General features: G+C 40.7%; 1 protein-coding gene and 1 pseudogene across 1 annotated transcript in view; one reads left to right on the top strand and one right to left on the bottom strand.

Annotated features, from left to right (window-relative positions):
* Window positions 1-14,693, bottom strand: part of JMY (junction mediating and regulatory protein, p53 cofactor) — a 91,081-nt gene that overhangs the window by 38,815 nt on the left and 37,573 nt on the right. The window contains exon 2 of the mRNA NM_152405.5: window positions 10,314-10,487. Within this exon, the coding sequence (NP_689618.4) occupies window positions 10,314-10,487 (174 nt within the window). The remainder of the gene's footprint in view (window positions 1-10,313; window positions 10,488-14,693) is intronic.
* RPS3AP20 (RPS3A pseudogene 20) lies at window positions 3,455-4,309 on the top strand (annotated as a pseudogene).

Genomic DNA, 14,693 nt, shown 5'->3' with positions numbered 1-14,693 from the left:
GCTTTGAAGAAGGGGTAGGATTTTGACGGGTACATAAAGAGAGAAAAACCACTGAAAAGGCATGCGAGAGGTGAGGAGCAATCTGAGCAAAAGCCTAAAAATTTTTGTGCCTGCTAAGGGATGGAAAGCAGTCCAGCCTGCTTGCTTTCAGGAGAGAAAAATGAAAGTAATGAGAGATACTAGGAAAGTAGGTTGTTATCATATGAGGTTGTCTTAAAAGACATTTAAAATGTCAGGCTAAGGACCGTGTATTTAATTTGACAGGAAACCACTGTGGGATTCTATGCACTAAGTGACATATTTAGACTTCATCTTAGATTTAAGGATTCTGGTGGAGTTGTTTGCTATAAGAAAATTGGTATGTGTGCTTTCTTTTATTGCAATTACCTCTGAATTTAAAACATACAGGTTTAAAAGCATACAATTAGTATTTACAAGTATGGGATAGAAATTTAATAATGATACAAGTCAAAACTTAAATCCCTTACTCAGGATATTATAATAGAAGTTCTTCTCAATGACATGATTACACTTTATTTAACAATACAAAGAAAAGACAAATGGAAATTAGTGAAGTTATACCTTTTTTGAAAAGTCTAAATCCTTTGACAATTATGTGAAGATAACATAGTTTGCTACCTTAATATATTCAAATATACAGAAGGTGAAATACTCGAATGCCCAGTATGCTTTTCTTTTAAGCTGCTGTTTAACTGACTTTAAATTTTTCTTTTCTTTAGAGATGGGGGTCTCACTATGTTGCCCAGGCTGGAGTGCAGGGGCTAGTCACAGGCACAATCATTAGCGCACTGCAGCCTCAAACTCTCAGCCTCAAGTGTCCTCCTGCCTCAGTCTCCCAGCAAGCTGACACTACAAGTGCACACCACCATGCCCAGCCTTTAACTGACTTTTAAAACTCAGCAGCTGTAACATCTGTCCAAAGGTTAAAGATCCGTAATTAGTCGATTGTACCTAAAACCTTAAGCTAGTTCCCCCTAACTTTGAAAGTCTGAAGATGTGTGTACATTCTTGTCTATTCATCTCCAAGTTCATCCTTCTGTCTTGTGATGCTAGGTTTGAGAGTGCAAATCACATTTAGCCTTTGCCAATAGAAGAGTTTGGAAGAGGGAGGAGATATGCTTCTATCTGCATCCCTTGACTTCAACTGGTGGCTGTTCCTGTCAGCATCACCCAAGCCTTATTTCACCCCAGCATCGGCAGTTCCTTTCTGAAGCAGTAACGGAATCTAATTTGCAGTTTTTTCAACCCTAGGCTCATAGTACAACCCCCAAGACAAACCAACCCCTCAGTACTGAATCCTCTGAGAACTAGGTCTCTCCATTGAGCACCAGGCAAGCAATGCCCTCTTTTTCAGGTCAGCTCCACGGGGTTCCTCCTCTATGCTTCAGTTTTAATAATTCCAATCCCTTCTCTTTGTTTCTCCAACCCTAGGAGTGGTAGCTGTTTTTACAATTGCTTCCTCTGGAAGTACCTTAGAGTTACTTTCTTGCCTTCTCAATTATCTGGTTAACAACTTTATACCTAATTAACAAATTCTTTATATTAGATTCTCTCTGTTGAAATAACTAGTTTTTCTGATTAGCTCTCAACAGATACAACTATGGAACAGAAATTTAATAGTGTTCAGAATTCAAAAATCTTAATACAAAAATCATTCTTACTTGCATGGTTAAGTCCATGTACCATTTATCGAAAGAAAAGTGTAAAACTTGCATTATGGATTTTTTTTTTTTTTTATGGAGTCTTGCTCTGTCACCCACACTGGAGTGCAGTGGTGCAATCTCAGCTCACTGCAACCTCCAACTCCCGGTCTCAAGCAAGTCTCCTGCCTCAGCTTCCTGAGTAGTTGGGATTGCACGAGCACGCCACCACACCCGGCTAATTTATTTTTATTTTTAGTAGAGATGGGGTTTCACGACGTTGGCCAGGCTGGTCTTGAACTCCTGACCTCAGGTGATTTGCCCACCTCGGCCTCTCGAAGTGCTGGGATTACAGGTGTGAGCCACTGCGCCCAGCCTTGAGGCTTTTTGAAGAGGCAAAAAAAATTTTTTTTTAACCTGTGGCAAGTTATTTGAAAGTAACTTGTACTTTGTTGTGGATTAATGTCTTTACCTTTATGAGTACAGCTACAAATACAAAGAACATAAACATGCTTTCTATGCTTTTTAATGCTGTCTTTTAACTGATTTTTGAAGTTTCGTAGCTTTAATGTTGCAGCCAACTCGTAAGCAACTTGTTTAATAGTTTATTGTACCTAAGACATTAAACAAGGGTACTAAGTACTTTTCCTAACTTGGCAAATTTGAAGATGTGCAGCACTGGTTAGATGGATCATGTGCTAAAAACAATGACACCTCTGTTTTCAATTTCAGTGCTAGAAAGAAAACAGTGCCTGTTTTTAACACGGAAAAAAAGCGCGTGTCAGCTAGGATAGCGAAACTAGTTTATAAATACAAATTACCTGACGTGGAATTATTATGAAGCACAGCACTTGGATACTGGCTTTTATGTAAGAAACACAGTAGGGGGGAAATCCACCTTAGATTCTTTGGTAAAACAATGCCAAGATAAATCTGTGAATGTACCATCATGAAGAAGATGAGGGGGAAAAAACTGTGAATATACTAATGTAACAGCACCCACAATGCAAATATTCCAGACCCTGGAGTTGCCTGAAGATGACTCTTGAATGATCTAACAACATGATTAGCTTAGTATCTATTCATGGGTTTTTATATTCAGAGCAAATATTGTTGAGAGATTCTTATAGCTAAGCCAAGTGTGAGAAACTATGCTTAAAAAAAAAAAAAGAGAGAAATCGAAACTCAAGTGAACTAAAGGAAAGTATAGCTCAGGTGAGATATGAGTATCTTAATGTATAATGGTGGCACTACCTAGTTCACAGTGTGCATGCGGTGGATGCATACAGTGGTAAAAACTGCACCCTGCACAATAAATAGCACCCAGCCAAGGGGATGGAGTAGATACTGAAATGCAGCCCATGCTTTGCCAGGCCATGTGTATTTCTACACTTGATGAAAAAGGGCTCTTTCCTAATTTGTTTGATGGGTGACTGGCAGTGGGCGGGTGGGGGGCAGGGGGTGCAGTTTTCTATTTCACAGAAAGGCACCTACAGACTTGCCCTGGGGGTTGGGATAAGAATGAAATGCACATTCAAGAATTTACTAGGAGACAACTGGCAAAATGAGGTGACTGGCTACAACAGAAAGAAATGCAAGTGCCTTCCAGTTTCTAGCTTATTTACTTTCAGGAAGTATTTAAAAATAAGTTGGACAATCTGTCTGAAGTGCTTATGGTTGATCAAGATGATGAGTATAGTCCAGCTGGCTCTGACTCATTAAAGACACTGGATTTAAAAATCTAGAGGTTCGTCTAGTTTCAACTTCATTTTACTTTCATTTGAAAGTAACTTCCTTTTGGCTCTCTGACCAGCACCATGGCGGTTGGCAAGAACAAGCACCTTACGAAAGGCAGCAAAAAGGGGGCCAAGAAGAAAGTGGTTGATCCATTTTCTAAGAAAGATTGGTATGATGTGAAAGCACCTGCTATGTTCAATATAAGAAATATTGGAAAGATGCTCATCACCAGGACCCAAGGAACCAAAATTGCATCTGATGGTCTCAAGGGTCGTGTGTTTGAAGTGAGTCTTGCTGATTTGCAGAATGATGAAGTTGCACTTAGAAAATTCAAGCTGATTACTGAAGATGTTCAGGGTAAAAACTGCCTAACTTCCATGGCATGGATCTTACCTGTGACAAAATGTGTTCCATGGTCAAAAAATGGCAGACAATGATTGAAGCTCACGTTGACGTCAGGACTATTGATGGTTACTTGCTTCGTCTGTTCTGTGTTGGTTTTACTAAAAAACGCAACAATCAGATACAGAAGACCTCTTATGCCCAGCACCAACGGGTCCGCCAAATCCGGAAGAAGATGATGGAAATCATGACCCGAGAGGTGCAGACAAATGCCTTGAAAGAAGTGGTCAATAAATTGATTCCAGACAGCATTGGAAAAGACATAGAAAAGGCTTGCCAATCTATCCTCTCCATGATGTCTTCGTTAGAAAAGTAAAAATGCTGAAGAAGCCCAAGTTTGAATTGGGAAAGCTCATGGAGCTTCATGGTGAAGGCAGTAGTTCTGGAAAAGCCACTGGGGACGAGAGAGGTGCTAAAGTTGAACGAGCTGATGGTTTTGAACCACCAGTCCAAGAATCTGTTTAAAGTTCAGACTTCAAATAGTGGCAAATAAAAAGTGCTATTTGTGAAAAAAAATAAAAATAAAATAAAAAAATAAAAAAAAGAAAGTAATTTGTACCTTGCTGTTGGATTAATATCTTTACCTTCAAAATGTGTTTATAGCTACAAATACAAAGAATACAAACACGCTTTTTGCACTTTTTAATGCTGTTTCTAACTGACTTTTGAAGTTTTGTAGATTTAATACTGCAGTCAATTTGGTAAGACCCAGAAAAACTCAGACCCAGAAAAATTGTAACCTTCAGTTCAGTATGTGAAATCCCTAAGCTGTTTCAAGTCCTGTTTTATTAGGCTAGTGGTTCTCAAACTTAAGTGTGTATCATAATCACCTGGAAAGCTTGTCAAAACAAAGATTGCTGAGGTCCATTCCTAGAGTTTCAGTAGAGAAGATCTGAGGTGAAGCCCAAGAATCTGTATTTCTACAGGATTCCAGGTTATACTGATACTACTAGTCAGGTGATCACATTTTTGAGACCCAATGTAGTAGACTTAGAATCTGTGAGCTCCCTAAAGGGGTGTCTATCTCAGAAAGACTTCCTGGCCTAAAATAATGCTGGGTAGGCAGGAGCTGCTTAATACTTAACAGGTGAGATATTATGTTAATATCATAAATATTAAATGTAAAAACAAATATAAATACATTATACATTTGGGATGCCAAGTTCTCTTCTTTCCTATCATACTTTAATACCTAGGTTAATGAAACCATTGGAAATCAAGCTCTTCATAAAGAGAAAAGGTCAATTATTTGGTTAACTACTTTATACCTAGTTAACAAATTCTTTATATTAAATTCTCTCTGTTGACGGCTGGGTGCAGTGGCTCACACCTGTAATCCCAGCACTTTGGGAGGCAGAGGCGGGTGGATCACCTGAGGTCGGGAGTTCAAGACCAGCCTAACATGGAGGAAACCCCCCTCTACTAAAAAATACAAAATTAGCCAGGCATTGCGGCACATGCCTGTAATCCCAGCTACTCCGGGAGGCTGAGGCAGGAGAATTGCTTGAACCCGGGAAGCAGAGGTTGCGGTGAGACTGCACCACTGCACTCCAGCCTGGGCAACAAGAGTGAAACTCCGTCTCAAAATAATAATAATTATTATTATTATTATCATTCTCTGTTGAAATAACCGGTTTGATATTTTGATTAGAACCCAACAGACACAACTGTCCATAGAATATAATAACATTCCAACCATCTTTCCTCTCATCTTCTATAAATCCTTAGACTAAAAGCATACCAAACAATTCACACCCTGTGGATAACAGCAGGTTTTGCTATCAAACACGTGTTCAATCCCAACCACGCTACTTTCTGGCAACCATCAATGGTGCTGGATTGGTGTGAAGATTCAATTAAGTTAGTGCCAATACCACATTACCTGGTTAAAGCACAAGCACTAAGTATAAGCACTAAACCATTCCTCTTTGTACATCTCTTCATCAGGAATATTCTCTATTCCAATCTCTGACAGAGATTGTAACGTACCCACTTCCTACTGAAAATTCTTATTCATTCTTCAATAGTGAAGCACTAGATAGTCCCTCTTTTCACATATATCTTTAGGCACTGATCACCCCATTTTGTGTGCTTCTTATATAAGTGTGTACATTCTTCACATTTAACTTTTTTTAAAAAATCACGTTTATTGAGATATAACTTGCCTACAAAAGGCAACATTTTGAATGTAAATTGTGATTGATTTTGACAAATGTGTACATTCATTTTTATCACTAAAATCTAGATTTAAAGAATCACTCCAAAGTTGTCTGTGGTGCTTGCTCCCTGTCAATTTCCCCTAAGCCACCCAAGGCAACAATTATTTAGCTTTCTGTTAGTACAGATCAAAATCATCATTTCTAGAATTTCTTATTTTTTTTTTATTTTTTGAGACAGTGTCTCGCTCTGTCACCCAGGTTGGAATGCAGTGGCATGATCTCGGCTCACTGCAAGCTCCACCTCCCAGGTTCATGTCATTCTCCCACCTCAGCCTCCCAAGTAGCTGGGACTACAGGTGGCCACCACCATGCCCGGCCAATTTTTTTTGTATTTTTAGTAGAGACAGGGTTTCACCGTGTTAGCCAGTGTGGTCTCCATCTCCTGACCTTGTGATCCGCCCGCCTCGGCCTCCCAAAGTGCTGGGATTACAGGCATGAGCCACTACACCTGGCCTAGAATTTCAAATAAAGGTATCACAAAGTTTATGCTCTTTGTGTTAGATGTCTTTTCCTCAGCATATTTCCTGTAAGCAATTTTACTATGGCTTAATTTATATACAACCAAGTGAATCCATTTAGAGTGGTCAACTCAATGAGTTTTGACAGCTGTATACACCTCTGAAACAACATTAATCAAATACTGACCATTTCCATCAACTCCAAAAGATTCTTCGTGCCCCTTTTAAGTCCATCCCCCTTTATGCATTATATATTCTTTTGTATTTGGCTTCTTTGACTTAGCATGATTTTAAGATTTACCCATGCTGTGTCCATCAGTTCATTCCTTTGCATTGCCAAAAATTATTCTATTATAGTCACGTGCTGCGTAATGATGTTTCAGTCAACAATGAAACACATATACAATAGGGGTTTGATAAAATTATATTGGAGCTGAAAAATCTGTTTGATTGGCCTAGTGACATCTCGATGATCCTGATCCTGGGTAGGCCCTAGATGTGTGATTGTGCTCCAGTTTTTAACAAAAAGGTTTTAAAAGTAAAAAAAAAAAAAAAAAAAAAAAAAATTAATTTCTTGGCTGGGCACAGTGACTCACGCCTGTAATCCCAGCACTTTGGGAGGCCGAGGTGGGTGGATCACGAGGTCAGGAGATCGAGACCATCCTGGCCAACACAGTGAAACCCCGTCTCTACTAAAAATACAAAAAATTAGCCGGGTGTGGTGGCAGGTGCCTGTAGTCCCAGCTACTCGGGAAGCTGAGGCAGGAGAATGGCACGAACCCGGGAGGCGGAGCTTGCAGTGAGCCAAAATCGCGCCACTGCACTCCAGCCTGGGCAACAGAGCGAGACTCTGTCTCAAAAAAATAAATAAATAAAAATAAAAATAAAAATAAATTATTTTCTTTTTTTCTATTACTAATACATCTTAGTAATACTTAAAACAACTACTTTGCTAATCAATTATACTTGCTTTTTTTTTTTTAGCTCCTCCAGATTTAAAAAGTCTGAGTAGATTTTTTAACTTAGAAGTAACAAGTAACCAGTAATGCAGTTAAAAAAAAAAAATCTTTGGAATCAGAAATGCCTGATTTGAGTACTGTATCAGTTCTACCACTTACAAATTAGCTGTGAACAAGTACATAATTATCCCAATATTAGTTTTCTTATCTATGAAGTAGGAAAATACAAATAATAAGAGTACCCAACTTACAAGGTTGTGTGATAATTAAATTAGCGGATCTTTTTAAAGCAATACAACACACTCAATCTAATGTAATGTATGAGTTGCTAACTAAATCTAGTTGTTGGCTAACAAAAACTTATATCTGCAAATTCACAAGTAGGATCAAGAATAAAAGAATAGTCATGATTGATGGGGCATTTTCTCAATGTCTTAGAAAAAGAAATGCAGTGAAATACCATTTTTACTGTCAGAAAAGACACAAATTTTCAAAATATGTTTTCTGTTCCTCTTCACCTACATTCTACTTCCCAGGAAAAATGTAGCAGTTAAGTGATGCTAGTGGACAATATAGGCTGACAAGTAGGGTCAACCAATTTGCTAATATTAATACCCAATACAAATCATGATATAATTATGTAAAAGAATGTGTACAGATTCTGGATAGTCAGTGCTGTGCTATAGAGATTATGTCTGCTAAACAATGCAGCAGTCTAAAGTAGGTGGGTATCCAGGTCGTCCAGTTTATTCCTGGCCTTCTAGTCAAGTTCTTAGCAGACAAATATCCATGATTCATTTAAAGAAACAGGAATTTCCAGGCTGGGCAGTGGCTCATGCCTATAATCCCAGCACTTTGGGCAATCAAGGTGGGCAGATTGCTGGAGTTCAAGAGTTCTGGACCAGCCTGGGCAACAGATGGAGACCTCCGCACAAAAACTACGACAAAAAACAGCTGGGCGTGGTGGCATGCGCCCATAGTCCCAGCTACTTGTGGGGCTGAGGTGGGAAGACTGCTTGAACCCAGGACATCGAGACTGCAGTGAGCTGAGATCATGCCACTGTACTCCAGCCCAGGTGACAAAGACGCTGTCTCAAAAAAACAAAACAAAACAAAACAAAAAAAACCAGGAATTTCCAACATCTAAAAATTATTTGTTCCATGTTGCTGTTTTAACCCAAATGCCAAATTTATGATAAAACTGACTGACCAAAACAAATCCCCCCCTCAAAAAGCTGACAGCACAGCTATTTTCCAAAAGTATTGATAAAGGAGTATGTCTAAGTCGTGTGACTGTCCTACTCTCCACCCTGATACGTTAGTAAAGAGAAAATAAGACACACAGACAACCTTACTTTCTCATACCTTTTCAAATATACTCACCCCTGTCCCCACGCATAAGGTTCTCAAAGTAATTGCTAATTTTCTCAAATACTCAATCTTACATAATGATATTCCAACTTAACCTATTAGGTAAAAAGACAATTTTAATGTTCTAGTTCAGCAACATTTATATATGAATTACACATAACATTTAAGGTCAGCTATAAAATCAAACCCTTAAATGCTTGCCTCAAAAAATGCTTTTTCACCCATGTTGTGGGGGAAAAAATTTAATTTTATTTTTGAGACAGAGTCTTGCTGTGTCGCCCAGGCTGGAGTGCAGTGGTGCAATCTCGGCTCACTGCAACCTCCACCTCCCAGGTTAAAGTGATTCTCCTGCCTCAGCCCTTCGAGTAGCTGGGACTACAGGCATGCACTACCATGCTCAGCTAATTTTTGTATTTTTAGTAGAGATGGGTTTTCACCATGTTGACTAGGCTGGTCTTGAACTCCTGACCTCAGGTGATCCACCTGCCTCAGCCTCCCAAAGTGCTGGGATTACAGGCATGATCCATGCCTGGCTGAAAAAAATTTTTTGTAATATACTTTGTCACACACTAATAAAAAATTTCATGTATTTAAAGTTCTGTCATTAAAAACTTAAAACTTTCCTAACAAGTTCTTCTAAAACAAATGTTCCCAAAACTGGCTGGGCATGGTGGTTCACACACCTGTAGTCCCAGAACTTCGGGAGGCCGAGGTGGGCAAATCGCTTGAGCCCAGGAGTTCCAGACCAGCCTGGGCAACATGGCGAGATCCCATCTCGAAAAAAAAAAAAAAAAAAGAAATGTTCCCAAAACTTTTTCTTCTTCTTGGAGACAAGGTGTTGCCTAGGCTGGAGTGCAGTGGCACAATCATGGCTCATTGCAGCCATGACCTCCTGGGTTCAAGCAATCTTCCGCCTACCTCAGCCTCCTAAGTAGCTGAGACTATAGGCATGTGCCACCACATCCAGCTAGTTTGATTTTTTTTTTTTTTTTTTTTTTTTTTTTGTAGAGACGGGTTCTCCGTGTTGCCCAGGCTGGTCTCAAGCTCGGAGCTCAAGTGATCCTCTTGCCTCAGCATCCCAAAATGTTGAGACTACGGGTGTGAGGCACCACGCTCAGCCTGCCCAAAATTTCTGGTAATGAAGTCTAAGAGTACACAGTCTCCAAAACATTAAAGAGGAGACATGACTAGAGGAGGAAGGAAAGTGCAGGAAAGGGAGAAAATAGGAATCCTCCCAATGTATTTACAACTTTGTGCTAACTTGAACACATTACTTTCTGGGCTATCCTCAACCCTGGCTACTCAGCAGAATTGCCTTTTGAGGTGCTTTAGAATGGATACTCAGGCTACAACCCTATTCTACCAAACAAGAAACTTTGCAGAAATAGGACCAGGTACCTTCTTTTTTTTTTTTTTTTTAAAGTTCCTCTTGTGGATAACGCATGGCCTTTCAGGCTGAGAACTATGAAACAGGCAGGCTACTAGTTAGGATTAATAAAAAAATACCTTGATCTGCTGTCTTCGTAGCATGGCAAGTTCTCTCATGTCTCGGAATGGCTGTAGTAAATACTGATAGAGTTCGGTTGTAGCTTCTGCAAGGCTGCTGTAGGCTTCATCCTCCATCTGATACAAGTCCAGAAGCTCCACCATGCTCTCTGTATTCTTGTGCTTATCCAAGAGCTGTGGAACAAGACAGTTTCACAACTAAGAAAATCAATTCTAATAACCTATAAATACTTGCTTTGAACTCTCCCTATCATGCCAGGACCTCGGAACCCTAAAACACAGAAGCAAGAGGGAATGAAAAGCATTGACTGCTTTTCATCACTATCTCCATACTTCTGGTGTCTCACTACTCAAGACCATGGCCTGAATATTTCTTTTGAGGCTCAAAGTATTGAGCTTAGCCTTAACACTTCCCATTTTTTATTTTCCTTTTTTTTTTGTTTTTGAGACAGGGTTTCACTCCTGTCACCCAGGCTGGAGTGCAATGGTGCGATCTCAGCTTGCTGCAACCTCCACCTCCTGGGCTGAAGTGATTCTCCTGCATTAGCCTCCCAAGTAGCTGGGACTACAGGCACACACCACCACACCTGGCTAGTTATTGTATATATTTTTTTTTTTTTGTAGAGACGGGGTCTCACCATGTTGCCCAGGCTGGTCTTGAACTCCTTGGCTCAAGACAGCCACCCGCCTCGGCCTCCCAAAGTGCTAAGATTACAGGCGTGAGCCACTGGACCCAGCCCAAAAAATTTTCTGCTATCTAGTAGAATGAAAACCATCCAAATCTGGAACATTTCCAATAAATTTCTTCAATTTCTACCTGTCACCTCCTTCAAAATCATGTCAGGCACTGGCCTACGAGCTGGACATACAAAAACATGGTCCTGGTCCTCACAGCTTACAGTGTAGTGAATAAACAGAAAACAATTTTTAAATAATTTAAATTTTATAAAAAATTATTCTTTTCCCCATGGTTCTTTTAGAGACAAAGAATTTCAAACTGTGATAAATATTATTAAAATTATAAATAAAAGTTTTATAAAAGAATGAGGCCAGGTGCAGTGGCTCATGCCTGTAATCCCAACACTTTGGAAGGCCAAAGTAAGAGGATTGCTTGAGGCCAAGAGTTTGAGGCAGGCCTGGGCAATGTAGTGAGACCTTGTATGTATAAAAACAATAATCGGCCAGGCATGGTGGCTGAAGCCTGTAATCCTAGCACTTTGGGAGGCCGTGGGGGGTGGATCACAAGGTCCAGTAATTGAAATGATCCTGGCCAACATGGTGAAACCCCGTCTCTACTAAAAATACAAAAATTAGCTGGGTGTAGTGGCGTGCACCTGTAGTCCCAGCCACTCGGGAGGCTGAGGCAGGAGAATCAATTGAACCCGGGAGGCAGAGGTTGCAGTGAGCCGAGATCACGCCACTGAACTCCAGCCTGGCGACAGAGTGAGACTCGTCTCAAAAAAACAATAATTTAATCTTAGGCAAGATTTCTTGGGAGAAAAAATGTAAAAATTAGCTGATAGTCCCAGCTATGGGAGGCTGAGGCATGAGAATTGAGCCCAGGAGGACGGGTCTGCAGTGAGCTGTGATTGTGCCACAGAACTGCAGCCTAGGTGACGAAGTGAGACCTTGTCTCAAAAAAAAGAACAAACAAAACAAAAAGCAGCCAGGCACAGTGGCTCATGCCTGTACTCCCAGCACTTTGGGAGGCCGAGGCAGGCAGATCACTTGAGGTCAGGAGTTTGAGAGCAGTCTTGGCCAACATGGTGAAACCCCACCTCTACTAAAATTACAAAAATCAGCCAGGCGTGGTGGCACACACCCATAATCCCAGCTCCTTGGGAGGCTGAGGCAGGAGAATCACTTGAACCGGGTAGGCAGAGGTTGCAGTGAGCCAAGACTGTACCATTGCACTCCAGCCTGGGTGACAGAGTGAGACTCCATCTCAAAAGGCAAGTAAATACATAAAAATAACAAATGAAAAGAACTAATACAGAAGACAGTAATTTATATATGCATACATGGACTCCATTTACCTGCTGGCAGTATCACCTCCCCAAAGGCACAAAATTCTTCTATTCCTTTTCATACCTATAGTTTCCACTACTATCTTTCTCCCCACTTATTTTCATTTTAGTTGTTGTATCAGTTCATATGTGTAATCATGCTGAATTGAGACTTCAGACTCATTTCCTGTTCATATTTTTGGCACAACATGTAGCAGCACTGTATTATTAACAATCATGATAAATCAGACAATCTACATTAAAGTGCTTTTATAACAAAAAAAGTGCCAAACAAATATTAGCTATCATTCTGTTTTTTTAAGGCTACTGTTAAAACTAATATGGAGAATTTTGACTTCTCTAGTATTAGCTAAGCAGTTCTATCAGAGCAACTTTTGCCACTGATAACAACAACAAACCGTGGGGCAAAATATCACAAAACAACTGCCTGTAGGCACTACAGAGTGACCAAAATAGCTATAAAATGGAAGGGACATCAACAATACCTTGGAAGCAGGGAGGGCTCTAGACGGTTTATTCATGCCTTTCAGCCTGAGGGTGTGCCCCAGTGGATGCCAAAAGAAGGGGAGAGGTATGACTAAAAACTCAGAAACCCTTGCCAGGCACGGTGGCTCACGCCTGTAATCCCAGCACTGTGGGAGGCCAAGATGGGTGGATCACGAGGTCAGGAGATCGACAACATCCTGGCTAACATGGTGAAACCCCGTCTCTACTAAAAATACAAAAAAATTAGCCAGGCGTGGTGGCGGGCACCTGTAGTCCCAGCTGCTCGGGAGGCTGAGGCAGGAGGATGGTGTGAACCTGGGAGGCGGAGCTTGCAGTGAGCTGAGATCGCGCCACTGCACTCCAGCCTGGTGGGCAACAGAGCAAGACTCCATCTCCAAAAAAAAAAAAAAAAAACCCTCAGAAACCCACAGTCTTGTTGGCTTGCTGGCTTGAAGAATCTGAGGATAGAGTTCAGGACAACCACAGCAGCTAGAAAGCCAGAGAACAGTGATGAAAGGGAGACAGCCTAAGAAGAAGAAAGTCCAAATTCATATATAAACTCTACTCAAATTTCTGGCTGATCACTGGAACTATACATGCACAGGACAGGTACTAAACAATCCAGATAAAACAAAACAATAAATATTTCATCTGCTGCCTTCCGTGAAGGAGGTAGAGTTTGACATCTGAATCCAATCAACTTGACTGCTGAAGACAAGACTGTAAAAATCAACACTCTGAGGGAACATAACAGAATCCAGAGGCTCTACAATTTATCATTCACAATGTCTATTATATAATCCAAGATTAACAGACCAACAAAGAAATAGGAAAACAAAACTCAGTCATCAAAAAGCAATCAATGGGGCAGGTGCGGTGGATCAAGCCTATAATCCCAGCACTTTGGGAGGCAAAGGCAGGCAGATCACTTGAGGTCAGGAGTTCGAGACCAGCCTTGGCAACATGGTGAAACAGTTTCTACTGAAAATACAAAAATTAGCCAGGTGTGGAGGAGCACACCTACAGTCCCAGCTACTGGGGAGGCTGAGGCAGGAGAATCACTTGAACCCAGGAGGCAGAGGTTGCAATGAGCTGAGATCATGCCACTGCACTACAGCCTGGGTGACAGAGCAACTCTGTCTCAATTAAAAACAAACAAACAAACAAAAAAAAACACTATTTTTAAAAAAAGCAATCAATGAAGACCAATCATAAGATGAAACAGATATGGATTTAACAGACAAATATTTCAAAGCAGCTATTATAACGCTAATTGGACATAAAAGAAATACACTCAACAAGAATAAACAGGAAATCTCAAAAAATAGAAACTAATTCTAGGATAGAAAATTCGCTGTATGGGTATAGAGTATGGTTCTAATAACAGTCAATGAACTTGAAGATAAAGATAAATTATCCAATCTTATAGAAAAAAAAGAAAGTGCTGGGTGTGGTGGTTCACTCCTGTAATCCCAGCACTTAGGGAGGTCAAGGCGGGCAGATCACGAGGTCAGGAGATGGAGACCATCCTGGTTAACATGGTGAAACCCCATCTCTACTAAAAATACAAAAATTAGCCAGGCATGGTGGCGGGCACCTGTAGTCCCAGCTACTCGGGAGGCTGAGGCAGAAGAATGGCATGAACCCGGGAGGCGGAGCTTGCAGTGAGCCGAGATAGCGCCATTGCACTCCAGGATGGGCAACAGAGCGAGACTCCATCTCAAAAAGAAAAAAGAAAAAAAAACAAAAAAGAAAGCCTCAGGGACTCATGGGGCAATATTAAAAGGTCTTCCCCCACAACCCGAGATGAGGTCTCACTATATTGCTTAGGCTGGTCTCGAACTCTTGGATTCAAGCAATCCTAGTG

The sequence above is a fragment of the Homo sapiens genome, chromosome 5 (assembly GCF_000001405.40).
Source record: "Homo sapiens chromosome 5, GRCh38.p14 Primary Assembly".
Classification (NCBI taxonomy): domain Eukaryota; kingdom Metazoa; phylum Chordata; class Mammalia; order Primates; family Hominidae; genus Homo; species Homo sapiens.
This window is presented reverse-complemented; position numbering and strand designations above follow the sequence as displayed.